This window comes from Homo sapiens, chromosome 6 (genome assembly GCF_000001405.40).
Source record: "Homo sapiens chromosome 6, GRCh38.p14 Primary Assembly".
Taxonomy (NCBI): domain Eukaryota; kingdom Metazoa; phylum Chordata; class Mammalia; order Primates; family Hominidae; genus Homo; species Homo sapiens.
Window position 1 is genome coordinate 111,854,860 of NC_000006.12, and position 27,668 is coordinate 111,882,527.

General features: G+C 42.7%; 1 protein-coding gene and 1 long non-coding RNA gene across 6 annotated transcripts in view, besides 5 other annotated features; one reads left to right on the plus strand and one right to left on the minus strand.

The window, feature by feature from the left end:
* The window catches only part of FYN (FYN proto-oncogene, Src family tyrosine kinase), a 213,121-nt gene extending 194,528 nt beyond the window's left edge, over positions 1–18,593 (minus strand). For 4 of the 5 annotated variants that reach the window (XM_047418569.1, XM_047418561.1, XM_005266892.5 and 1 more), the window contains exon 1: positions 18,109–18,593. The gene's annotated coding sequence lies outside the window, so the exon portion shown is untranslated. The remainder of the gene's footprint in view (positions 1–18,108) is intronic. The other variant, NM_153047.4, reaches the window with a different exon arrangement.
* Positions 17,713–18,112: a silencer, noted in NCBI's record as "silent region_17481". NCBI's record gives its function as "represses an Ori minimal core promoter by ATAC-STARR-seq in GM12878 lymphoblastoid cells {active_cell/tissue: GM12878}" and the evidence as "EXISTENCE:reporter gene assay evidence [ECO:0000049][PMID:35858748]".
* Positions 18,165–18,664: an enhancer, noted in NCBI's record as "H3K27ac hESC enhancer chr6:112194227-112194726 (GRCh37/hg19 assembly coordinates)". NCBI's record gives its function as "activates a minimal SCP1, AML or CMV promoter by ChIP-STARR-seq in primed H9 embryonic stem cells {active_cell/tissue: H9 hESC(primed)}" and the evidence as "EXISTENCE:reporter gene assay evidence [ECO:0000049][PMID:30033119]".
* Positions 18,165–18,722: a biological region, named in NCBI's record as "H3K27ac hESC enhancer GRCh37_chr6:112194227-112194726".
* Positions 18,263–18,512: a silencer, noted in NCBI's record as "silent region_17482". NCBI's record gives its function as "represses an Ori minimal core promoter by ATAC-STARR-seq in GM12878 lymphoblastoid cells {active_cell/tissue: GM12878}" and the evidence as "EXISTENCE:reporter gene assay evidence [ECO:0000049][PMID:35858748]".
* LOC102724646 (uncharacterized) lies at positions 18,593–22,451 on the plus strand. The gene is made up of 3 exons (NR_168402.1): positions 18,593–18,831; positions 21,192–21,353; positions 21,635–22,451. It is a non-coding gene; the product is annotated as an uncharacterized LOC102724646 (long non-coding RNA).
* Positions 18,633–18,722: a silencer, noted in NCBI's record as "silent region_17483". NCBI's record gives its function as "represses an Ori minimal core promoter by ATAC-STARR-seq in GM12878 lymphoblastoid cells {active_cell/tissue: GM12878}" and the evidence as "EXISTENCE:reporter gene assay evidence [ECO:0000049][PMID:35858748]".
* Positions 22,452–27,668: the final 5,217 nt, after the last annotated feature.

A 27,668-nucleotide genomic window follows, 5' to 3' on the forward strand; every position in this document is an offset into this window, starting at 1 on the left:
CAAATCTGCTAAAGAGGCAACAGCAACTACTTCAAATGTTAATAATGATGCAAGACTATGTTAAGGAAGATGATTTAACATACGCAGCTGCAGAAGGTTTACTAACATAGCACTCTAGGAGACATTTCTTTTGGATGAAATGTCTGTTGTTCCAAATTGATTTTGCTTATTTTTGAACTCAGGTTTTTTTGTGCATATATGAAAAGTGAAACGATGACTTTAATGTATTAGCTTCATTAGCAGAAGAAAAAAACTTCACCAAGAGTTAAATTATTCCAGTTTTATGTTAGTATTACCAGGTGTTTTAAACAGAAAATCAATTAATTCAAATAATATTTTTTTTCATTTATCTCATGGGATCAAAATAAAGCTTGTGGAAGTTTATTTTGTCACAGGTAAAACGTCTCATATTATTGTAAATGCTACTGTAAATTGTAAAAAGCTCAACATAGGAGATGAAATGATTTGATTTTGCAGGAATAATACAAATTTTGTGATGCTAAAAATAAGGTTCTTAACTAAATCAAGAAACCTATGGTGCAGAATGTTACTTAGAATGTGTTATGTCACATGCATAATTCATAACTGCATTCAAACAAGTGGCTATATCCTATCGAATGTAAAAACTGTAGAGGTAGAAATTAACTAATAGTTATATATACCCAATTAGAAATATCCCAAACTTTTTGTGACAAAGCCAATACTAAATACAAAAAACACTTCAACATAGCAGTATATTCCTTCTCTTTTGTCCCCGTCATCATCAACTGGGTTTTGTTAATGCTTGAGAAATGACTCTCTCTGTCAACCTGGGCGTGCCATAACGGTATCATAGACAAGTCCTTTAAAAAGTTTGGGTGTATTCTGTTCCAAACTAGTTGGAAGTCTTTGATCAAAGCAGTGAATGAAGCACCAAAACAGTTCAGCTTTTGAAGCCTGTAGCCAACTGCAGTTATTGAAAATAAGGCTTGTAAACAGAAGATGCTCAAATTTATCCCAACAAAAGCAAAGGAGGAACTGAACACATTGCATGATGAGAACTCAGTGTTCAAGATTTAATTCTGAAATTCTGTTCTGATGTTTTGTAATATCTTGACTTGTGGCAATCTTTTGATGGAATGCCTAGTTTTAACTGGATACATTTATATTCCGTACCAGAATGGAGTGAAACTGAGAAGGTCTGCAATTTTGTGCCATCTAAATTTGACAAAACATTTGAAAGGACCACAGAGAAACTTAATTTCATAAGTTTTGTCTTATAAAAATATTTGTTGAAGAATTCTGAATGAGAGAAAAAGATCTGTGAACATATTTGGGTGAAAACAGTTACACATTTCAACATTTTAAAAACTTGTCTAAGAAGAGCTTCCACTGAGCAGAATTTGTTCAGAGCTCACCAGGGACTTTGCATCTAAGAGCTATTTTCTGAATGAGAAATATTGTGATGTACACATAGAAGCCAATCAAAGATATTAATTTCAAATACTAACTATAAACACAACTTTGAAGAGATTGGAGGCAACTTTATTAAGAAAATTAAAAACAATTCATTCTTCATATGGAGTATCACTGGCATAGGTTAGTTAGAGACATTGCTAAAAAGTTGACTAATGGGAGTGAAAAATAATTACTTATGTTATTATTTTATAAAACTCAGATAATATAAGATTTTTTAAATTTAATCTATATGGACATATGTTTTTAAGTTTTAAAAATTTTATTTCTGAAAAGATTCTGAAGAGAACTATTTTATAGGTCTAACATATTTTTAAAATGTCAGTTAATAAATCAATACTTTTTAAATTCTATCCATTTAATTATTTGCTGACTCTTTTCAATTTAAATTATGTGGTTCTCCATCTCTAACTCTCTTGGCTCCCCCCCGACACACAAGGTAAAAATATGAGATGCATTTATGTTTTGAGAAAATTTGCTAAGAGTGTCACAATAATTTTCTGGTGAGAAAATACATAAGCAGTATCCAAACAGGCAACTCCGCACCTCACCCCAGAACACCCCCAATAAAGGCACACTTTTAAAGCAAGCCTGATGATTTCCCTTCCAAAATTACTAGGTATTTCAGAAACAGCAGGTTTTAAAATACATCATCTTAAATGCAGCATCATCCTCATATGAATGTCAAAGAGAGATGAAATGCAATTAAAAAGAGCTAACTGTTTTTTTCTCCCCCTCTCTCATTTGAGTGTTCTGGTAACTACTTACAAATTATACTTGGAAATGAATCCTTTCATAAACTGATACTTTATTTAGCACATGAGAACTGAATAAAAATGAAGAGCATTTCCCCTTGTATTTAGAGACATTTCTACTATTCACCCTGTTACCTTTACAATATGAAACTGAAGGATCACACACAGTAAAAATTCTCCTCTAATCTCCAGCATCACAGTAAATTCATTAGAGAAAGGCTTGAAATTCTAATACTTTCCACTGACCTGAGGCCCGAAGGCAACTGAGGTCCTTCTCAGGGAAAAACTGCCACTAGCTAAACAAGGGGAAGCCAGAAACCCCACACTATCTTGAAACATCAGGTGGAAAACTCTGCCGCTTAAGGACATAATCTCACACTTCTTGCCCCAAATGAACCTAGGACAGGTATACTAAGCCACGATTTATCAAAGGAAAAATGGTATACTATAAGAGTATAGGTAAATTTGTCACAAATAAAAAAGTTTAAGCAGTTAAAATATAGCCCAAATGCAGAGTGGCAGGTTTGAAATATACACTTACTACCTAACAATATAAAAAGATGTTACTTTATTTGTGCATGATTGAATTCAACTTGATTATGATCATTGCATTTCTACTTATGGCAGAAAAAAAAACAATCTTACTCATTACAGGTAACCTAGTGGCTTCAGAGTTAAAACTTTAGTTGCTTCAGGGCAATCAGTCAAATTAAATTCACTTCAAGCTGCCGGGCTGTGTCCCTTTCGTTCTCCTTCTTCTCCCCAGGGAGATTACAGACCATCACAGTGATGGGGAGAGGATTGAGTCTAGGTGCTGGCCTCTGGCCTCTGTGGGATGTCTTGTTCCTTTGTCATTGGGTGCTGGCCTGGTTTGGCTGATGTAGCTGGTCAATACCTCACTGGGGCTCAGTAGTATCTGTGGCCACGATCCCAGCCAGCCTCCAGCAGGGAGATTGGCACACTTCCCTTCTGTGCCCTCTCTATTCTGACCCTAGATATCTCAGTACCTTTACATCCACCCAAGGGCATAAGCAGGACTGTCGGGATTTCCCCACGCCATGTACAGGTTTTGGGGAACTGGGAAGGAACACCACCTCAGGGCCCGTTTCTACCTAAACACACCCCACTGCAGGGCAAACTACAAGGTGGTTTCCTTCCAGAGTCCCAGAGAGGAGGCAGGGCACCAGTGCTCTCTGCTTACAGGGGGTCGCTCACCTACCTGGGCCTTCTATCATCTCAATAACCCCGTAAGCAGAAGCCCAGGACAACTGGGTGCTAGATCTCAGTGACCCATCCATTTCTTAACCCTGGAATCCTCTGAATCTCTGCAAGCTCCTCCTTCCAACCCAGGAAGCAATTTTCTCCTTCTTGGGCTAACGGAAGTGATCCTGTAGCCTCCCTCCTCCGTGGCTTAATGTACAATATATGCCAGGCCTTCTGAGATTTGGCTGCTTGGAAACCACAAACCATTTTTCTTCTAACAAAGCCTGTCTCTTTTAAATGAAGGCTTGGGCTAACTCTGTTCTCTGAAACAGGCTTTAAGGGCCTGTTTTGGAAGTCAAAAGCTGAACAATGTCTTCTTTGTCGTTGACCATGTTCTGTCCTCCCCTTGAAGTGATGGAATCCCTAGCTTCAATGGGGGAGACTCCCAGGGCAACAGCAATTAGGAGGAAGGGAAAGTAAATTGAATACCAGTTCAAAATATTATTCCCACTAAACTAGCTGCTCATAATGCAAGGTCTCAGAGGTCCCAGAACACTTACCTAGGATTTAAAAAAAAAAAAAAAAAAGTGCAACACATTGACAGGCCATTCTCCTAGAAGATACCATTTATATCATTATATATTTATATTTGAACCAAGGGCAAGGGGAGCCTATGGCTTTCCGTTTCTTGAGTTCTTCCTACCCAATATCCTCAATCTCTGTTCTACCATTGAGTGGAGGTCCAAAACCACCCCTGCATCAGCATCATTTTGGAACTCTCCACTTCCCTGGATTTCCTCAACTGAGGGCCCCCTTACCTTTGTCACTCCTCTTCCGTACCTGCTGTGCCCACTCATCACATCCCTGAGGCCTCAGACCCTTCCTTACCTATCACCTCCAATCCAAGCTCACGCCCCTTCCAGCCTGAATACTAGTTTCAGCTGATTCATATGATGTTTTCTCTAGTCTCTTAGAGCAACCTATTATTCAAACCAATGCCCAACTCTAAGTCACCGCAAGGCCAGATTTTTCATTCCAAAGTGACAAGTATTACCAGGCAGAGTCACAAAATTGGGCTAAAGGGAACTATAAACATACGTGCAAATTCCAATGGGGCCTCACTCCATATTTTTTATCCATCTATTTACACACTGTGCTACAGTTTAGTGGCTGGCTGAATTTTTTCTAGATTCTCCAAGCCCACTCTCCCTTCTTCAAATCTCTCAACATGAGATGACAGTTCAGCCTCCAGTTCATAGAAAAGTTCCAGGACACTCCATTCCTTTGAACTTCTTTCTTCTTACATGCAAATTTCACTGTATCTTTATTTATCTTGCAGTAATAGTTAAAATCAAACAGGTAAAGTACATAGCACCACGATACCTGCCATTTAGCAGGCATGCGATCTTGTTTTGTTCTTGTCTGTTCTCTTTCCCTCTGAGTGACTGCTACTTTCTATTACTTTGAGGGTTATAGTGGGTTCAATGGTGCCAACCCCCCAACCACAAAAAACAAAAACAAAAAACACACCATGCCCATCTGGAATCTGTGAATATGGCCTATTTGGAAAAAGGGGTCTTTGTAGATGTAATTAAGTTAAGAATATCAAGATAAGAATATCCCATATTAGGGCTGGCCCTAAATTCAGCGACAAGTTTCCTTGTAAGAGAGGAGAAGGCCATGCAATGACATGCAGAGGAAAATACCCTGTGAAGATGGAGGCAGAGATTGTAGTGACATGCCTACAAAGCCAAGGAAAGCCAAGGTTTGCCGGCAGCCACAGAGAAGCCTGGGACAGAATCTCCTTCAGGGACTCCATAAGAAATAAACCCTGCTGAGAGCCTGGTTTCTGATTTTGGGCCTCCAGGACTATGACAGAAAATGTTCTCTTGTGTTAAGCCGAGTTTGTGGGAATTTGTTATGGCAGTCCCGGGAAACCAGTAAAAGGTCTAACTTAATTAAGATCTCATCTCCACCAACTCTTCACCAATCTTCCATCCATCGTTCCTTCTCGCTCCTGCCTAACCAACACCTCCCTCTTCAGTGGATCATTCCTGCATGTTCTAGCTCAACCATGGGCTAGACTGAAAACCCCATGGGTGTTTTGGTGGGCAGCACAGAGCAGGAATCTTCCAGCAGCAGCAGTTCTGGATCTCAAGTGTGTGGAAGGAAGCCCTGTTCTGGGGATGGGGGCCAGGGTGATTCATTCCCTGGAAACAGAACCTCTGTCACAGCTAGAGATGTGAGGATCAGGGAAAGCAGTAGGGCTTGCCTTGGGCACCCCAGATTAGGGACTCTTCCCCACATGGCATGTTGGACTGGGGTACAATCAAATAATGTTTAGGGTTGCAGTTTTTTAAGTGCCAATCCCTCTTGGATCATACTTAACAAATAAATTAACCAGAACCTGTCCCTTTCCCAGGAGCTGCTGGCACCCATAGAGGCATCTGGTTCTGTTCATTCTACCACAGTCCTTCCAGATTCTTCCCAGACACTCCTCATCCTCACTAGTCTTCACTGAGTAATTCTCAACCTCCAAGAGAACAACCTCTAACACTTGGCAGTCTGAAATCAAGAATCTGTTGAATAATGACTATGGGAATTACATGGTCAACCACACTTACATGAAAAGAAGTGTGAGGTATGGCACATTATCTATGCTTTGGCCCTAACGGAGAGGCAAGATTAGAAGTAGGGCTATTGCATTTTCACCCAAGGAGGCAGAACATAAGGGGGAATCTAAAACATGCAACCAAAATCTGGATTCTAAACCATGACTCCAAGGATCCATCAGTGCAGAGGACCCAATGTATCACCTGCATGAAGAAAAGTTACTTAAGACGCATCTCATTCTAGAAGTACTGAAAACATATGTAAAACCTCCCAACTTGGAAGCTTAGAATCAGAACCAATGAGCATTTAATAAATGCACAGTGTAGTATCACGCAGCACAAGGCAAATTAAACAAGGTTCACTCTCAGCCTTCTAGAAACTTGCTACTGAAAATGGACAATATTGACGCTGATGTGTACAAAAGAGGGTAGACATGAGCAGAATGAATAAATACATGAAGTGGTAACATTATATGCCAGCAAAGGGGATAGTACATTTTGTCAAAGTGCCATGTGATCTCCCACATTTAAGGTGGTAGTTGTGGTAGCGGGGAGGTGGCAGAAAAAGCACTTAAATAATAGACGGCGTATGGTTAAGCAAGGAAAAAAAATCCACCACTGCTTCTCGAAGATCACAATAGCATTTCAAACAACAGTAAAGCACCAGGTACCTCCCCTCCCCCTTTCAGCTGCAGCAGTTGGCCTACATCCACAGAAAGTGTTCTTATTGCTCTCTATCCCAGATACATTAAACCTGGCATCCAGGAGAGGACTAGGCAGGGGAAGCCATTAACGAGGAATCACAGCGAGCTCTCACAGGCAGCTGAGAAGGCTCTTCATGAATGCAGACCAACACTGCCTGTTGTGCTGTTTTGAGTTTCGTTATAGAAATGACTCCAGGGGTCCCTCCCCATGACCATGGAAAACATTTTATAAAGCTTGTTTTCAATCATTCTTTTGAAGGATATACAAACAAAGGCTATAGCTGAGCTGTAGAGTTAAATCATTACTTCGTAGAGCCTTAGTCTGGGACAGAACCCTCTTCCTATGCTAAGGAGATTCTACTACAAAGTAAACAAAATCAATGCATGGAGAGGAAGGCACTTCCACAGCCAAAATTGGGCTATACATGGCAGAGGCACTCAGTTAAATGTTGCTTTGTGAGGTCCAGGTGTGGGTAGGTACATAATACTTTCAGGCCCAACAATACTGGCAGTCCATTTGGCTATTGTTCTCTCGCCCATCATTTATTACTGTATTCCTCCAATTTCCTCTAGATTTTGAAGAATTCTGCATTTTCTCTCTGCTCTTGGATGTCATTTCCTTTCTTTTTTAGTGAAAATCTTATGGATGAAAACCTGATGGCAGAGGGCAAAGGAGTAACTATTTCCCCAATCACCCTAAATTTTTAACAAAAAGCTCAAGATTACAAACAAAAAATCTTCAAACACATATCATTCTCAAAATGAAATGGTGGTTTCTAAAGCAGTCTAGGACAGTTAATGAACCCAAACTGTGTTGTGGGTCAGTAGGGAGTAAATCTTGTGCCACCAGAAAATACAGAAGCTCAATGTCCAAAAAGAAGCCAGCCTCATAGCGCAGATGCCCAGAAAGCCAGCTGCATGTTCCAGTGCCTTACCCCGGGCCTGTCTAAATGAACATTGCTGAGTATCCACACTGTGAATGACAGTGTGCTACGTGCCTTAGGTGGACAGTCAAAAAGGGGAGCGGCATATGTGGGGCCAAGTATGTCTAGGAGAACTGGATTCTAGTCTAAGCTAAAGTAGTAACCGGATGTACCAACTTGGGCAAGTTGTAAAAACCTTCCAAACCCTGAATTTCTCATATTGAATTTAACTAACAATGTCAGGCATCACTTATTAGGAGGCAATTGAGAGATACAAGTGTTCAATGCAAGAGAATAAAGAGATTGGGGGAAGCTTTTGAGAGTTGGGATTCCAGCTGGGCCTAGACAGGTGAGTAGAATTCTAAGGAAAGGGAAGGACGGGGGATTCCGGGAAAGGAAAACAAAGGCCGGAGCCATATTGCCAATTAACGAGATGGTAATGGGCTTCTGGCTAACCAAGCATTAGCATCTGCTAAATGAGGTGAGCCAGGATGACTAAGGAAGAACGTAGATACTACAGAAGGCACTGAAGGCCAGGCTAAGGAACCTGGTCATTCTGCCTCCATTCACTGGGCTGTTTAGTAAAGGGACAGGATCCAAGAACCAGTATCTACATTAGCCGGCACATCCACAGTGACATGGATCAATACCTCCTCACTCAATCTAGGAAATATGAGAGTGAAGCCAAACTAGACAATAAAAGGTGATACCCTTCAAACTCAGACAGCAACTAGAGAAACCATTAACAGAAATCAGCGCTTCTTAAAATATCCTTATGTGCATGTATGTGCCTAGGTACAGGCAATACATCACACAATCTCTAGAATAACAAAAAAATAAAATTAAAACAAAAATCAAATTTCACAAGTGACAACATTTGAAATTGTTATTGCTTCTAAATAGACATGACATTTGTGTGGAAATGAAGTTGTTGGTGTTTATTTGCCTTTTCAGTAGAATTTAAATTGGGCAGGATTTCACAGAAATACAGATTCAGTAACTTTCTGGGGATTAAAAGAAGAAAGGATTGGGAAAAGTGCCCTGGGCTTTGTTGTGGGAAAGGAGATCTGGCTCATTTTTAATTTTCCATTAAAGCCCTACTTTTCAATATAAAGCAGATGGAATCCTTATACAACTCCATGAAAAGCCTACTATTTTTGGATACCTCAAAGATGGAAGCTCTGAAGAAAATGAAAGTGTTTGACTTCATCAGATAAAATCCCACCAGCATATTCAAAAGGCACAGGTACTTAGAAACCTTTAAATTACAAGTTAAGAGGTCTTTCTGTGCGGATTTATGATCCCGGGCCCCTCTCAAGCTTCGGCACTCTCTGACTCTTGCTGACTGATGGTTTCTACCACTTCTCCGCCTGCTCCCACTACTCTAGTTGGGACTCCCTATGTTTGCTTCCTTCCTTGTCTTCCAGAGCTGCCTGCTGACTCTTCCCTTCTCACTGTTGTTCCCAGATACAGAAAAGATGAGAAGCGTTCAGCCCTGCCTGGCCCATACCCACTGAATCCAAATGAGGCCTGGGGATATGCATTCTATGAGATCTTCAGCATATTTGTGCTCTTTTCTTATTATGCGATAAGACCTGGTTCAATATATTCTGTTTGTCACTCTGCTGGGGTGGACAGGAGAACAAAAGGGCTGATGTTTACTGTGCAGAGTCTGTGAGATACTAGGCTGGGAGCTGCTGGGCACCACCTCCACCCTCACAGTTTACAATCTCATTAAAGAGATGGCGCAAATTTAGTGTGAAGAACATAGATGTTGGAGCCAGACTGCTGTGTTCAGATCCCAGCTCTGTCACTTACTCTGTGACGCTGACTAAATCACTTAGCCTCTGTGACTCAGTTTTTCCATCTTTTAAATGGGATAATAATGGTAGTACCTCCTAGAATTGTGCTGGGTGTTATGTTGACAAATCAATCATAAAATAGAGTCCCTGACTTCCAAAGAGCTCACAAGTCGGTGGGAAAGGCCAGTGCCTGCCCCACTGTCCTACCCAGCTGGTTCCCTCAGCCTTACGAATCAGGCTATGATGAGGATGATGATGAGGTGGTAATCAGGTGCTCTGGGAGCCCAGAGGTAAGAGAGATGGGAGGGCTTCTCAAGAGGCAGTAGGTTTTGAGGGGAGTCATCAGAAAGGGTGAGACTTCCACGGTGGGTAAAGGTGCCTCTGCATCCTGCAACACAGGACACAGAAGTAACTGCAAAGCAAAGGCAAGGAGGCAGGGAATGAGGAACCACAGCTCTGGAGCAAAAGCAGGAAAGAGTTTAGCAGTCACACAGACCTGGCTTCACTAGTTATTAGCTGTGTGACCATGAGCCATTTGCCTCTCTGAGCTTCAGTCTCCCCATTTGACTAATGGGTATAATAATACATGCCTCCTAGAGTTGCTATGATTAAGTACATGACTGTATGTAAGCACCTAACACATGCCTCCGAGTTCAATAAAATGGCAGGTGCTATTATTTCTATGGTGTATTCAGGGAGGAGTAGGTAGCTGTGGTATGCTCTCTACTTTTTTGCAGTATCACAGAAAGGAGAATACAAGGCCAGAAACAAGTAGTCCTCTAAAAAAGCTTTCTGAGTGCAAATAAGCAATGAGCTAGGACTTTCCCATGGTACTTTTTTCTCCCCCAAACTCTTACAGTTAATAGGTACTCAATACATATTTGCCTAAACCAACCAAGTGCTGCTCGAGGTCATGGGTTTACAAGGGCAGAGTATGTGATGATCTCTGCTTCCTAAGTATACCCAAGAAGGAGACCCAAGTCAGGCTTCACTTCCAGACGGAGGTGCACAGCAGGCTGTTCTGGAAGCAGGCTGAGACAAATGGGAAAGCGCTCTCAACCAAATATTACAACAACTCGGAGTCTTACAAACATTGTTAAAGTTTCATGAGTCAGTAAGCATTATCTTTTCCTCCCACGTTTTTATTAGACCATAAATCCAATTCAATTTATATTCTTCCAGGATTACTGCGTTCTAATCAAGTCCACAGTGTCACTTATTCCTAAGTTGTCTATATTGCATGTCACCCAAGTCCATTTGGATAATACCATTCAGGCTTCTCATGTGTTTTAGTAGCTAAAAATTAGATTTGCTCAACTAGAAACACTAAAAAAATTATTATAGTCCTCTAAATAACACAAATCACTCTTTTTTCATAGGAGCCAAATGTGTGAAAGTCATAACCCATAGTTTTTTCTTACTTTATAGTTCATTCTACCTTTAGAAAAGTCACAATGACATTCTGAAGTCAAACTCGAGGGATTTCCATTGTAAATAGGTTAAAATTCTGGTTATCTGACTAAAAGAAACCCTTTTACAGGGTTAACGTCAGAATGCTTTCATGTTTTCCGTTCTCAAGAATGAAGGTGCTGCATTTCTTACTAAAAATGCTGTTTTCAATCATACCATGTAAGTAAATTTCCCAACTTTTCTAACAATTTTTGATTCAGAACCGACAATCACCCAAATCTCTTTCTAAAATATTCAAAGTTTCCTTACATACACACAATATATTGTCATCATCCCTTCCCTAAAGCATGTATGTCATATGTGTATATATACACATACACACATACATATGGATTAACAACAGCAGCAAACACATAGCTTTTCCTATGTGTAGGACACTGTTCTGAATATTTGACATGTATTAACTCACTGAATCCTCACAGCAACCCTCTGAGGCAGGAACTACTATCTCCATTTAAAGATGAAGAAAAGGAGTCACAGAGAGACCAGGTAACTTGGCCCAGCCCACACAGCTGGAAAGGGTCAAACCCGGACCCTACCCCAACCTCATGCTTTTGTTTTGTTTTCTTTTGTTTTGAGACAGAGCCTCACTCTCTCGCCCAGGATGGAATGCAGTGGCACAATCTCAGCTCACTGCAACCTCTGCCTCCCAGGCTCAAGCGATTCGCCTGCCTCAGGCTCCCAAGTAGCTGGGATTACAGGCCTGTGCCACCACACCGGGCTAATTTTTGTATTTTTAGTAGAGACAAGGTTTCGCCGTGTTGGCCAGGCTGGTCTTGAACTCCTGACCTCAGGTGATCCACCTGCCTTGGCTTCCCAAAGTGCTGGGATTACAGGCGTGAGCCCCCGTGCCCGGCCCCAACCCCATGCTCTTAACCACACCACACACCTGGGCTGAGAGGTGTGAAACCTGGTGACTTTGCCATCTTGGACAAGTTGCTTAACCTCTTCATTTAACTTCATTTTTCCTCACGAGTAAAATGAACATGTTGACTACATGATCTCTAAGATTCCATGGCCTGTGCCCATGAAAAACCGCAAGAGTCCTTCATGGTTGTATGTTCTACAGGCTTTGATATGTGTTTTTACCCTGGCTGGGGAGCAACAGATTTCTAGACTTCTCCCCCTCTAGTTCTCCTGATGCTGCTTTGGGCAGGTTCAGATATCTTCAGTGCTAAATCCAACTGCATTTTTTGTTCTTTATGTTGCTCAACTCTGAAGCTGGTCTAGTACTCCGCAGGCTCCTCTCCCATTCTGGGCCTGACTCCTCCTCTGTTCCTGGGCTTGCTCTCTGCCCTTTCTGCTCTTTCTACTCCACACATTCTCCCTGGGTGACCTCACCCACATCCATGGCTTCAATTTTTGTAATTTGTTTGCTAACGAATTTATATTCAAGACCTAGTCCTGGCTGGGAGCAGTGGCTCATGCCTATTATCTCAGCACTTTGGGAAGCTGAGGTAGGTAGATCCCCTGCAATCAGAAGTTCGAGACCAGCCTGGCCAACGTGGCGAAACCCCAATAATTAGCCGGGTGTGGCGTTGGGTGCCTGTAATCCCAGCTACTCGGGAGGCTGAGGCAGGAGAATCGCTTGAACCTGGGAGGTGGAGGTTGCAGTGAGCTGAGATCACGCCATTGCACTCTAGCCTGGGCAACAAGAGCGAAACTCCGTCTCGGGAAAAAAAAAAAAAAAAAAAAAAAAGACCTAGTCCTCTTCCCTCACTCCAGACCTCTCTATTTACCTGCCTATGAGCTACTACACCTGGAAGTCTAAAGTGTTTAAGATAAAGTCATCGCTTAGATACCTGCCCCCTGCTTTCCTTATTGGACTGCTTGTCTCTACCTAATTTCCCAGAGAAATTCTTTTCTACCTACCCCTACACCCTGTCTACTGCTCTCTAATTCTTTTTTGCTCCATCTGCACCTCCTTTCCTTCCATTTAGACCCTCATCTACTACTCATTTAAGTTTCCATAACTACCTTCCCTGCATTAGTTCTGCCTGCCCTCGGTCAAAGGCCCATACTGTGGCCAGATCTTTATAAAAATACAATCACATCAAAGCCACATCTCCACTTACAACTCTTAAATGGCACTCAGGATAAAGTACGTACAAGAATCTTTCTCAGTTTCTCCTTCAGCTCTGTCATTTCCCTTTGTCCATCTCTGTACCACTCCAAACAGCCCTGAACTAACTGCAGTTCCCCAAAAGGTCTGTGCATTCGCCCTCTGGGCTGTTCTTTCTGGGACAGGGAGCTTCCCACAACACTCACCTAGCCATCTCTACTCATCTTGCCTTCAGACCCCTCCTCTTCCAGCCTTCTCTGCTTGGCTATCCCACTTGCCCACCTCTTTTCCAGGTTCATGCTCCATTCTGCACACTCTCTGCCATCCTACATGGACCCCTAAAATCCCAGCATTTCTAACATTGGTCAGAGACTCCTTTATAGCTCTGCAAAACTAGCAAGTAAGTTCCTTCGGGACAGGATCACATCTCTTTTGCCTTGAACCATCGAATTAATTGTCTGGCAAATAGAATACGCAATGAATGAATGCTGTTAAATGAGTAAGTATGTAGACAATTCATAAACTTATACAGACCTAATTGTGTACCACAGAAAGACCCAGCTTTAAATAATCACACAGAGTAAAATTATTTCCAGTATCGACATGCCTTGCTTTACCATTGTTTAATTTAATTTTGTATTTCCCAGGTAAGTAGTAGATAAGTGTCTGAATGGAAGGAGGGTAGGGATGAATATTGTATTTCTATTTGGCTATAAAATTATATTTCTCATCAACCAAAAGTCTTAGTTTCTAAAGCATTTCAGTCACCCTCCCTTATGGCACATAACGTATTTTAATATCATCATTATATGTAGTATTTTGAATATTACCTAGTGGCTAAGGGCAAAGGCTTTGGAACCAAACTAATTGGACCTGAATCCTGACTCTACCACTTAGTAGCTGTATGATCTTGAATTAGTTACTTAACAAGCTACTAAAGTTTGCTTCAATTTCCCATCTGTAAAACGGAGATTATAAGTGAAACCACTTCATATTATTATTGTTAAGATCGGAGCTTAAACAGTGCTTGGCATATAGTAAATGCTCAACAAATGTTAACAATTATTAATTATTTTTATCTCTTCTAGTAGACCGTGAACTTCTGAAAAGCAAGGACAGCAGAAGTATTCATTTCCAGGACCTCATCTCCCCAGTGCCTTGCACAAAGTAACATACTAGGCTAATGTCTGCAGAACAGATGAATATAATGAAGTATTCATGGCAAAAAAAAGTGCATTAACAATTATGATGGCTGGTATGAATGGAATTGCTCCAACAATTTGGAAGCCTGTGGAGAACAGGGACTACCCAGAACACTAGAACCCTGCTCATGGAGATTTGGAAGCTCACTTAACCTCCGTGGAATATGCAAGACTCACAGACAAAGAGGGCAGCTGAGTGACAGAGGAGACCCATGTGGGCCTGAAGAGCTGGCTGGCTGAGCCTCCTGCCCTTCCGTTAAGAAGCTGCAAGGCCTTGGGGCAAGGAGTTTCACCTCTCAGGCTAATTAATTTCCTCTTCCAATTAAGAGGGAGTGGGACTGTGATTTCTGTTTTTCTTTTTGAGATAGGGTCTCACTCTGGAGCCCAGGCTAGAGTACAGTGGTATGACCTCAGCTCACTGCAGTCTCTACCTCCCAGGCTCAAGTGATCCTCCCACCTCAGCCTCTTGAGTAGCTGGGACCACAGATGCATGCTACCATGCCTGGATAGTTTTTAAAAGATTTTTCGTGGAGACGAGGTCTCACTATGTTGCCCAGGCTGATAACAAACTCTTGGGCTAAAGTGATCCACCCACCTCAGCCTCCCAAAGTGCTGGGATTACAGGCGTGAGCTGCAACATCCAGAAGGAGTGTGATTTCTAAGGACTCTCCTAGCAACTTTGGGAGTCTACAGAATGACCAGATGAAAAATGAAGCCAAGAAAGGTGCTTTTGGAGTAAAAGAACCACATCAAAGTCAACACAGGAAGCATCAGATGATTGTATCACATGGGATTATTGAGTAGGAATTGGCAACATTTGAAACATAAAATTTGAAACATGACAAAAAGTAAGATTTTTGAAACATGCTTAGGATGAAAAGATCTAAACTTATAAAATCAAAAGAAAAGCAATGACGGGTGTCCGCTCTAGGTTTCTATTTAATTCCCATTAGCCTATAAGTTTCTTGAGGGCAGTGAATGTGCCTTGATAAGTGGCAGTGTTTGACAAAGCTGTTCAATAAAAATACATTTATTCTGTATCTTTTTTCTGAGCACATGGCTAAACTACATTTCCCAGGCTCCCTTGCAATTAAATGTGGCCATATAACTAGCCCTCAAGTAAAGAATGTGAGAGGAAGTGATGGTGGCACTTCCAGGCTAAGGTATTTTAAAAGTGGGTGTGCCCCGTCTACTCTCTGTTGCCCCTTCTGTAAACTGAAACAGGTTACGATGATAAGCTATGGGATGGTGGAGCTACAAGATAGGGGTGTGGGACCCAGAGTCACTGCATGGAGGAAAGCCACCTACCGACCAGAAACATGAATTTTTGACTATTAAATGAGCAAGAATAAACGTCTATTGCTTTTGAGCCATTATATATTTGCAGGCCTATTTGTTACACCTGCTAACATTAGCCTAATTGATACAGGTGTTGAGCACATACCAAAGACCTAACTCACATTTGTTTAATGTTAAATGAAACAGAATACCCGCTAAGATAAAACTTGGTAGGAAACAAGATAAGTAAGATAAGGTTCCTTTTATCAATGTGCTGACCAATTAATGGTGGAAATAGACTCATGCGAAACATAATGCCTGCTGCCAAAGTTTGAAACCAAAACATGATGATTTGTTTGGAAAGGAGAAGATGGAAACGGCTTCACAGAGGAGATGACATTTGAGCTGGGCCCCAAAGGTTAAAAAGGACTTCGAGCAAGTCAGATGGGGTTGGAGATTCCAGACCCAGGAGAAAGCAGAGTGTGCATTTGCTCACATTCAACCTTATCATTAAGTCTCTTAAACTTGGTCAACAGAGTGTGAGTTTATGTGCTCTGGCTTTCCTTCCTGGGTCTGGCATCAAACAAACGACCCTTTGTTTTTACAGTACACTCATTAACCCTATTGCTTTTTTTATCGTAAAAAGTTCCACGATGAATGTTCTTAAAAAGTGTGTAAGTAAATATTTAATGAATCATAACTCTTTTCTAATAAAATTACTGAAGACTAAACCTACAGTTCTGTTACTTATAAAAATAGTCGAGGAGCCATACTTTTAGGAAAGAACAGGTTCAACTTAAGTTTTGACAATATCGATTAAGCATGTAATAGTCACTGGCTTACAAAACGGAACATTAAGCCCCCAGATTTACATTAACATTTCTTCCTTAAAGGGAACATCAAATGGTTTAGACTTCAGTCAAGATTCTCTACAGCCCCAGTTCATAGCCAAGTGGCCTCAAAGCCTCAGATAGTTAAACCACTTCCTCCAAAAGTCTGTGAGTCCCTTCATCTGAATACAGGGTACCCATGGAGCAGGGACTGGGGAAGAAGACAGTACATAGGGTGGAAAGTATTGCAGTTGCTTGGGTGGTGAGAAAGGAAGTAGGCGTCCCAAGACTACCTTGAAGCAGGCAAGAGGCAGTCTGCAGTGGTCTTCCAAATGCTAACTCTAGACCGTTTTATCCACGTCCCCAGGTATTTACTTCAATAAAAGGGTAAAACAACATCACTGGGCAGACAGGATTTCATTTCAAAAGACTTCAGTACAGTGCCCTCTTAGACTTGAGAGAAGAAGCCATTCAGGCTGCCTCCCTCTTATCAAATAACAATTTAATTCTGATTCAGAAACAAAATTCTTGTGACCCCCACACCAATCTACTCTACCCCAGCTCTTAGTACTTGTTCCCAAAAGGACAGGGGAAAGAACGAGGGGATGGGGAGGCTACCTTAAAAGTAAAGCAACTCTTAAGACTGCTGGGATAACTGTTCCCTTAAATCTAAGAAACACTGCAGCTGCCAGTCAACACTACCGGTCTCTGAACACAGCAAAATGCCGACACCTGCCACCCGGCATCCGGGGGTTCTTTTATTTTTTGGTAAATGTGGCAGGAAAGACTCAGAGAGATCAACTGCTTCATGGGAAAGAAAGGGAAGCCCCAGGGAAGAGAGACAAGAAGCATCGTGCCTATCCTAGGGTACTTTGTGTGTCTCCTCTCTATGCACTGAAAGGGCTCTTTGTGTCACACTCACACTCACACACCCGGCGAGTCTGTGTGATTTATTGGGGGAAGGAGGGGCAAGAAGGGTGATTTTATTATCCCTCTTCCCAGTGAGTCCCAGCACATCTCTGCTGGGCCCAAGCTCGGTGGCCTCCTTCTGGCCCAGTCCCCTCCGCCTGTGGCCGCAGAGATAACAGAGGGGAGGAGCCCAAACAAAAACAGCCATGGATCTAGGGAAGTAGAGAGGAAATCCAGCGAGGGAGCCGGAAAGGAAGGAGAAAAGAGCTGGAGGGAGCAGAGGGGTGGGGGACAGAGGAAGAGGAGGGAAGGCTCCAGCACAGGGGAAAGGGGAAGGGTGGGTGGGTGGTGGCACAGGAAGAGTGAAGGGGAGGATGGGGGAAGTGCAAGGGAGGTGCCAGAAATAGGCAGGAGGATGGGTTGGAGAAGGCGACCGCCGCCGAGGGAGGAGGCCGAGAGGTGGAGGAGTGGGGCAGGGGTTGGGTGGGGAGGGAAGCAGCACGGGGCATCAATTATTAAGTGATTACATCATCCCTGACATTAAAACAACACACACAGCCCCAGTCCCCGCGGGGGGCCCCAAAAGGAGGGCGGGGGCGGAGTCTGGGCCAGCCTCGCCCCCAAGCCAATTCCCATTTTCACCCGGCGCCCGCTTGCGGGCGAGGAAATGGGGTCCCCATCCCCGCGCTGCCTCGGGGCCGCACCCCGCAGGGGTGTCCTCCGGTGCAACCGCGGGAAGACCCCAAGCACCGACTCCCCGGCAGCCCCGCGGAGCGCCCTGGCGGCCAAGGGACCGCAGCACCGGGCCCTGCGGCGGGGGCGGCGTGCGCGGGGGCGCCGGCGGCCGGGCTTCTCCGCAGCATCCCCGAGGCCTCCCGCGACGCATCCCCGCCGCCTGCTTACCTGCGCGGCGCTGAGGCTCCGGAGCCCACTCACATGGTCCTCTCCCCGCCCTCCTCCGGCGCGGCCGAGGCGGCTCCGGGGGGTCCCCGGCGGGCCCGGGAGCCGGTGGGCCTTCCGAGAGCACCGAGGGGGCGGCGCCGGGGTGTCCCCGGCCCGGCGGCCGAATCCCTCCCTGGCGCGGGCGGCGGCCGCCGGGCGGTGCGGCGCGGGCGGCGGCTTTGTGTGCGCCCGGGCGGTCCTCGGTGCGCTGGGAGAAGCGCGGCGCGCCCGGGCGGGAGAGGACGCGCCGCTCGCACAACAACCTCGCCTCTACTCTCGCCGCCGGGCGGCGGGCGGGTCTCGAAGGCCTTCGGCTCGCGGCGACCCCTCCTCCTCGCCCGCGGCAGCCCCCTCCTCGCCGGCTCCGCTCCTGACAGATGGCGCAACTGCAACGACGCGCCGCCGCCACCAGCGCGGCTGCTCGCTGCTACTCTTGCTGATGCTCTGCCCCTCCAGCTCCGGAGGGGAGCGAGGAGGGGGCGGGGCGCGCCTCGAGAGTGACAGGCCCGGCTGCCCTATCAAAGAGCCCCTTGGGAGCTGCGAGCCGCAACCATTGGCGCCTGGGGCGTGGGCGGGACGGCAGTAGGTGGGGCCGCCGAGTGGGTTGAGCGTTACTGTGGCAGCGGGCATCCCAGGGTGCGTGCGGTGCAGGGTGTGCAAGAAAATGCGAGGTTGGAGGAGGAGGTCTGTGTGTTTTTAAGGATTGTGTGGAGTTGTGAGGTGGCGGAGTAGGGCGGGAGAAAGAGCGGAGAGTGTGAACTGCAGTTTCCGCTTTGCGGAAGGTTGCAGCTGCTGCTGCAGATTGGCACCTGCCATTCCCCCAAAACCATGGGAAACTGCCTCGAGACAGGGCTATCTTGCCTTTCTGGTGTCTTTTCATTTGAGGGTGAGAGGATGAAATGGAAAATTGGGCGGTGATAGCAGCGTTTTCTTTGATCAAACTGAAAAGAGTACGGAGCAAAGTAGAATCCTGTCCTGAAACGTGGAAACGCACAACAAATAACAATGAGGAGGAGAAGGAGATTAGGATCATTTTATCAGTCCCCTATTTCTGCGGACACTCATTTATATTTTTTTTCTAGCAAAAGTCTGGAGGAAGTATTACTGAAATAGGGGGAGGGGCCAAGCGGCGACTAAGGAACCTGAAATGACAGAGATTTGTTCGTACATTCCCCGCCCCACCCCCAAAAAACCTCGTTTAATTGTAGTCATTGGTTGTCTTTGGTTTCTCATAACATTCAAACTTCTCATGTTTTTTTCCCCTTCACTGAATCTGAGCTTTTGCTCATATTTCCCTTGATGAAATAATTGCCGGTTTAGTATACAGTTGGGAGTGCATCGGTCTTTATTTCCTATCCAGCTTTTCTATGGCAGGATGTAACTTCATAAAAAGAAACACTTTGGCTTCCTGATTTTCTTTATAGGTAATTCCTGTTTACTGAAAGTTCTGCTTTAAGGCATACTCAGAATCGCTCTCCTTAATGATTTTGGCAAGAACCCTACCTTCCCCCTCAGCAAATCTAATGTTCTAAGAAATTATAAGTGAATCAGCTTCTGCTTCTGTGCTCAAAATCTATAATATTGCCTTTCCGGCCCACTACTTGTTTTTACTGTAGTTTAAAAAAATCTGTCCCTTTTGCTGACTTTTTTCTTTTTGTACACACTACTTTTTAAGAAAAGTTGCTAACATTTATTAAATGATCTGCATCCTATGGAGGAGGAAACTGAGGAAAAGAAAAGTTAAGTAACTAACTCAAGGTGACAGTATACAGAGGTTACTGGATTTTTTTCCTTTTCCTTAAACAAAATGACAAATTAAACCATGTTTAAATTGTGTCTGGAAATTCCATAATCCCAAGAAATGGAACCATAGCTAGGACTAGGATATTTCCATACAAGAGAAAGCCAGCTTCATTTAGCCAAGAATTGCTTATCTCAAGAGCAGAGGCTCTTCGTCCTCAGGGCTAGTCCGCAATGGCTGCTCTGGGTTTATTTGGATTGGGATGCAGAGGCAGTTGGGTAGAGCAATGGTTCTCAAACTTTGACATGTATCAGAAATAACTGAAGGGGCTTGCTTAAACATGAATTGCTGTGTTTAACCACCTGAGGTTCTGATTTAGGGGGTTTGGGATGGTGCCCAAGAATTTGCACATTTAGCAAGTTCCCAGGTGATGTTGATACAGCCAATCTGGAGACAGCACCTTGAGGACCATAGTTCTAGAATTGGGCTGTCCGAGGAGGTAGCCACTAGCCACATGACTGTTAAGTACTTGAAATGTACTTCAGTATTGGAAATTTGGCTACTGCAAATTAGGATGTGCTGTAAATGTAAAAGATGTATTAGATATTTCAGATCAAGCATGAAAAATGGAATGTAAAGTATCCCATTTTAATATTGATTACATGTTAAAATGATAGTCTAAATGTACTGTGCTAAATAAAACATTATTAGAGTTAATTAAATTGTTTCTTTTATTTTTTAAATGCGTCTACTAGAAAATTTTAAATAACCTATGTGGCTCAAGTTATATCTCTATCGGGCAGCACTGGTCTGGAGTTGTTTCTGATTCCAGCTCCACAGTTCACTGTTGGGAGCGCTTTGATGAAGCAAGTCGCTTATCCTTTTTGAACCTTAGTGTCCTCATACGTAAAATGGGAAAAATAGTAAAACTGTTCTCAAACTATTCCGGACAGACTAAGTGTCATATGCTCTCAAGAAAAAAACACTCTTAGGCTATATATCTCCTTGAAATCTCATGTTTAGTTCAATCTATCTTACGCTAAATCTGGAAATCTGGAGTAGGTGGGATAAGTCCTCTCTCTCTCTCTCTCTCTCTCTCTCCCTCTCTCCTCCTCTCTCTCTGTTTCTTCACGAGAAGTCACTTCTTAGTGTCTGCAACTGTAATAGCTTCTTGATCTAATTAGTGGACAAAGAGACAATGTGATTAAAATGACAGATTAACCTGCTCCCATCAAGACTTCATCCTGTTTTTTGTAATTCTTTGCTTACCTACTTTTTTATCTGTTGCCCGTCTTAAATGTAGCTTTAAATGGATTTGGACTCCTCAGGAGGATTTGCTAATGGTCTGAACAAGTGAATAGAGCACTGCAAAAGATTTGTATACTATTCCCGTTTTGATCTTTTCTGCCAATCTCTACCAAGAACTTGATTAAAGATCTGAGACGCTGTCCCTGGCCTACCCAAGGTAAGTAATATTGTCTTCCACAACCACCAGTTTTGTTTTCTTATGAGTAGCTTCTATTATACAAATTAGAATGTAGTCATTGTTCTAGAACTTCTCTTTGATTTTATTGATATTGTTTATATATTTTGTATTTTTCTACTTGTTTTACCTTAAAGTTTCCTCTTTCTATTCTGGCTTTCTTGAACTTGTCTCATCTGAATCTTATATCTTGCTTTTAAAGTAACTTTTTTTTCTTATTTTTATTAGCTAAAACATTTTCTTGTCTTATTATTTTATTTTAGTTTTAATCTTCTCTTAAATGTCAACTCAACAACAACACATATGGCAAGGGTAAAAACCCTCAATGTAGAGTTTTTACAAATCAACAAGAAAATAAAGATGAACGTTCGAACTGAAAAATATGTGCAACAGAAACAAAACCCAAAATGGCCAGTAAATGTGATAGGAGGTTCAACAGGAAAATGGATATCCATACCCTACTAGTGGAATTTTTAATTGGTACAACATTGCTGGAAGGCAGTTTAATAGCATTTGTGAAAAGCCTTTTAAAAAAATGTATACATTTGACTTAGCAATTTTACTTCTGGGAAAGAATGGAACAAATTTGCAAATACACAAACACAAGCGCACATATCATGGGAATAATTGGAACATTGTTTATAATAGTGAAACACTGAGAAAAGTTCATTGATAAGGGATTTGGTGTGTAAATTATGTTATATCTATAATAGAATACTATATAGCCATAAAATTATAACATTGCCATTTATTTATTTATTTGTGTGGAAAGATGTTCACAACAAATTAAAATTAAGAAGAGCTAATAAATTAGTATTGTGTTTGTATGTGTACATATGTATGTTTATATATATGTATTAATACACATATATTTCCATTATTTTTAAACTTATTTATATGTGTAAATTTTCATAGAAAGCAATACATACACAAAAATTTTAATGATCATTTCCTCCAAGTAATCATATTTTAGGTCATTGTTATTTTATTTTTTATCTTTTTCTTAATTTCCTCAACTTTTTACATTGGGCATTTATTATGTTATTAGAAAAAACAATAAAAACTTATTTTAAACTTGTACCTTTTTTTGCTACTTTAATTCTCGTTTTTCTTCCTCTGCCTCCTGTCTGCTGTTTTTCCTCCCTTTTGAAGGCATATTGCCCCAGGGTAGTGTTCAGGAATCAAGACCAGGACCAGAGGGAGGCCTTCTGCTTCCATCCACCCACAGACACCCTTCTTGTTTCTGGTGGGTCTTCTGGGACTTGCAGGAATGATTCTTATAAAACTTCACTTTGAGGCTAGGCATGATAGCTCGTGCCTGTAATCCCCGTGCTTTGGGAGGCTGAGGCCAGAGGACTGCTTGAGCCCAGGAGTTTGAGACCAACCTGGACAGCACAGCAAGACCCCATCTCTACAAAAAAAATAAATGCCAGGTGTGGTGGTGTACACCTGCCGTCTCATCTACTTGGGAGGCTGAGATGGGAAGATTGCTTGAGCCTGGGAGGTCAAAGCTGCAGTGAGCTCTAATTGCACTGCTGTAACAGAGTGAGACCCTGTCTCAAAACAAAACAAAATGAAAAAAACAAGCAAAAAAACCCCTTCACTCTTAGAGTGGGACACCACTGCTAAAGTGGCCCCAGGGCTAACCTGTCTGTACTTGGCATACCTGGTTCACTGTTTACCTCTTTCTTCTGATGCCTCATATCAAGTCCATACATAAAGAGTTACATATTTTTATATACACAATCTTTAGAACACAGCCAATGGATTTAGGGCATTTTGGGTCCACAGCTTGCCATGAGCCAGCAGGAGATGGTCCTGGAAAAATCTCATGTGGGAAGGACATTCCATACAACACCCCAGCCTGAACTCAGAAAGGAGCGTAGGTGATGTTAAACCTGCCTCTGGAAGGAAGATACCTGTGGCTCTTCTGAAGTTGAGATTCTGGCCCTACTTTTCTACCATTGTCTCTCTTGTTAAATTGTGTCCATACTGGACAGCTGGTCCTCCTGACAGGCCACAGCAGAGCCCTCTTGGCATTTGGCTTTCCAGTTCCCTTTTCTCTTAAAAAGATGGAGGGTGGACTGACTAGATAGGAGTTATTATGAACATGGTTTTAGAACCCAGGTGCACTGAACCTCTTTTGGATGCTCTCAACATGTCAGGGTCAGTACTGGGCAAGCCAGGCATGCTGGGGAGGAAGAGAGGCCTATATCCTAAACAGACCACAGGGAGGGTGAATGGGATGGCACTGACTGAAAATGCGCTTCTTTAATTCTTTGCCCGACTCCCCAAAGGTGGCTTGGATTATTAGCTTGTGAAGTTCAAGTGCCTGAGAATGGGTCTTAGTCAACCTTGGGGTTCTAGATGGAAACCCTTCTAATTTCATAGAGTTATCTCCCAACACACCTCCTGCAGGGACCCCATAGGAGCCTAACAAAGGAGGCTGTTCTGTCATAAGATGGCCTGTCCCTTTCTTCTGCATACTAACCAGCCATACCTTTCACTCTGGCCCTTTCTTGACTCCTCACTGTCTGCTATTTCCAAGCTCTACTCAGTGCAGTGATGGTATTTAAGACTCCTCCAGGGTGGTGGAGCCAATAGAACACCCCACACTAGTACAGAAAACTGGATCAGAAACCTTTGGACTCCCCTGTTTGCAGGAACAGGTTGATTAGGCCTGATCTTCTTTAGGTGAGCTGACCCTGACTTGACACTCCACGGGAGACCCTCAAGAGTGACACTGTGAGGCTAGCAGATGCTTTTCATTTTGTTTTTATCTGATAGAGCTCCTAGAGTGTGCCCTCAATGATTCAGTTATTTTCCTGGTCATAGCTTCTTGTAGTCCTAAAGAAAAAGAGATAATGCCTCAGCTTTCTAATTAGTTTAGTGATCTACATCTGTGTGAAATGTGGACTTTATGACATTTATCTTGCTACTTTCAAGAATTCAAATATTCTGTCTGTCAAGTTGTCAAGGGAAAAAATGAACTGAAGGAGGAGGAAATTATTGTATCAGTCAAGGTTCTTGGTTGCAAGCATCGAAAACCTACTATGTCTGACTGGGCACCGTGGCTCACACCTGTAATCCCAGCACTTTTGGAGGATGAGGCAGGGGGATTGCTTGAGCCCGGGAGTTCGAGACCAGCCTGAGCAATATCATGAACCTCCATCTCTATAAAAAATACATAATTAGCCAGACAAGATGGCGTGAGCCTGTAGTCCCAGCTACATGGGAGGCTGAGGTGGGAGGATCACCTAAGCCTGGGAGGTTGAGGCTGCAGTGACCTGCAGTCCAGCCTAGGCGACATGATAAGACCCTGTTTCAAAAACAAAACAAAATGACAACAACAACAAAACACAAAAACCAACACAAAGAAAACCCTACTATGTCTAATTTAAGCAGAATAGGAATTTTTTTAGGAAGCTATTGGTTGGCTCATAGAATCAATTGGAAGACTTAAGAACCAGGCTCAAAAAGAAAAAAAAAAAAAAAGAGGGAACCAGGTATCACTACCCAGGGGCAGAATTGAGAGCTGGTTAGGACACCTCTGCTGGTGTCCTCATTCTACCAGAGACTTTTGCCACTGCCAAGGGGCAACACCACCGGATGTAGATTCCAAGCCGTCTCTTTATCCTTGTGTCACTTGCTGAAGATTCAGATTCCTAGGTGGCAGCATCCAATATGCTGGCCATACCCCAGCTGCCAGCCAGGGTAGGAGGGAGTTGGGGGGCAGGAGGCGGAGGAAGGGAAGGGAGATTTGTATATTTTCAGCTTCTGTGGGAAATGGTCAGATAATTTTGCTCCACCCAACTCAGATAATAGGACTCTCCCCCCTCAAAAAAAGGGCGACGAGATGCTGGGCCAGAATTTAAAAATGACAAATGCCCACTGCAATTGGTCACCCAGATCTCTGTGAACCTCAGTGATCCATGATTGAGTGTCCCTATTCATTTAACAGGAATTTCTTCCTTTCCAGTCTGTCCCCTAGGCCCACCCTTACATTCCCTTAGCAAGGTACACAATATTTGTTGAACATAATGTTTAACATGAATGATCTTTCAACTTTCAGTTATTCTACATTTCCCAAGGGAGAGTTAATTGTCTCTGAGAGTGAATGCCAGGATTTATGACACATCTTGTAGGGATGTGAAGCTTCTCAGGAATGGGAAGATTGATGGGTTTTCTTATGCTTTCTCCTACCCTGATAATCTGCATATGAGGTTCTGTCAGTCTTCCTTTCTTCCTGTTTATTATCCTTCTTTATGTAGGAAACACTCTTGTGTGGGTACCAGCTCACAGTGATTCCTCTCTTCTGGGAATAGCTCCCAGTGCCCAGGAGTGTCCGGGATGCCATGTCTATATCAAGTGACCCTGTAGTACCCCATCCTAGCTGATATGGTTTGGCTGTGTCCCCTCCCAGATCACATTTGCATTATAGTTTGCATAATCCCCACATGTTGTGGGAGGGACCTGGTGAGAGGTGATTGAATCATGGGAGCAGTTACCTTCATGCTATTCTTGTAATAGTGAGTAAGTTCTCATGAGCTCTGATAGTTTTATAAGGGGGTTCCCCCTTTGCTTGATTCTCATTCTTCTCTCTCCTGCCTTCTTGTGAAGAAGGACGTGTTTGCTTCTCCTTCTGCCATGATTGTAAGTTTCCTGAGGCCTCCCCAGCACTGTGGAACTGTGAGTCAATTAAACCTCTTTCTTTTATAAATTACCAAGACTTCGGTATGTCTTTATTAGCAGTGTGAGAATGGACTAATACACTAGCTATAGCCAAATGACCAGGGATAGACACTTATCCCTGAATGAGCCAAGTATTATTTACCAAGAATTTGAAAACTGGATAAGAGAGATACAGAGCTGGGTATATTAGCCAGCTAAACAAATTAGTAAACTAAAACCAACTTCTGTAACAAACAATCCCCAAATCTCAGTGGTTTTACATAATAAAGATTTACTTCTCTCTAAAGTCACAGTCCATTTGGGTTTTGATGGACAGTTATTCTTAAAGTGATTCAGGGACCTAGGTTCCTTTAACCAGGATTTCACTGGATCCTATTTATATGACTGGGAAACAAGGAAGGAGAGGGAATTGCATGGCAGATTTTAGGGGTCAGGTCTAAACATGACATACATCATTTTTGCTCACTTTCTGTTGGCCAGAACTAATCACACAGCCACACCTGTAGGCATGGGAGCTGGGAAATGTAATCTAGTGGTGTTCCCAGGAAGAAAAGGAAATGGCTTTGGTCAGTATCTAGTCTGTGTGCCACATTGAGAGATGGTAAAATTGAGCAGCACTCTGGGGAAACAATACATAGATATGCATTTTACATAGATACAAAATATGTCTTACATAGATATACAGTACAAAAATTTGAGATAATATTAAAACTTGGAAGTAATATCAGCTATCCTTCTCTAAATTTCATTTTGGCTGTTGCTTTACTGATTTGGCTAGCATTACGTTTTTGTTTGTATTATAACGTAGCAGTCCTCATCAAGCCAGACACTAGGACGGCAAGAGATATTTTTGCCAGGTACATGTCAAAAAGCACTAATTCTAAGTTAGCATCTATCTGTTGATAGTATATGAAGGGCAAAACTTCTTTCTTGAGGAATCTTAGATGCAATTTTTGTTGCTTATAAATGTTAAAGTTTCATCCTCATGGATATACTTTGAAAATCCCTTAGTCCACCATACTCTTCACCCACTCCCTATTGTCTCCAGATTTGTGGAAACAGATTCTGGGTCAGCTATACTAAAGTGGAAGATGAGAGGAAATAAACACTTTCTACTAAGTCTACAAAAGAATTGAATCTATTTTAAGCCACTATCTATTGCAAGTTTCTCAATTTATTTAACTAGTTACCTATTGATGGACGTATAAGATGCTTCCAATGTTTTGTGATTACAAATATGCTGAAATTCTTGTCCTTACACGTACATCATTTTATACATTTATAAACATATCTGTCTACCTTGGACATGAGAACACATGTATTGGCTAGATATTAGGATATTGTAGTGAGTTCAAAATGAACTCACACAGATATAGTTTATAATATATAATCTATGTTTATGTATGTATTTATCTCTATATAAATATATGTATATTTTTACATAGATGTATCTTGTATATATATATGTGAAAATACCTGGGACTGGCTGTCTGAACCAAAAAGAGCAGAAATAGTTACTTGGGATGTGTGAATTTGGCAAGTACAGGTATAGAAACTCAAATCTCTGTTACATATTGGAGGTTTAATTTTTCTAGCTTGCAAATC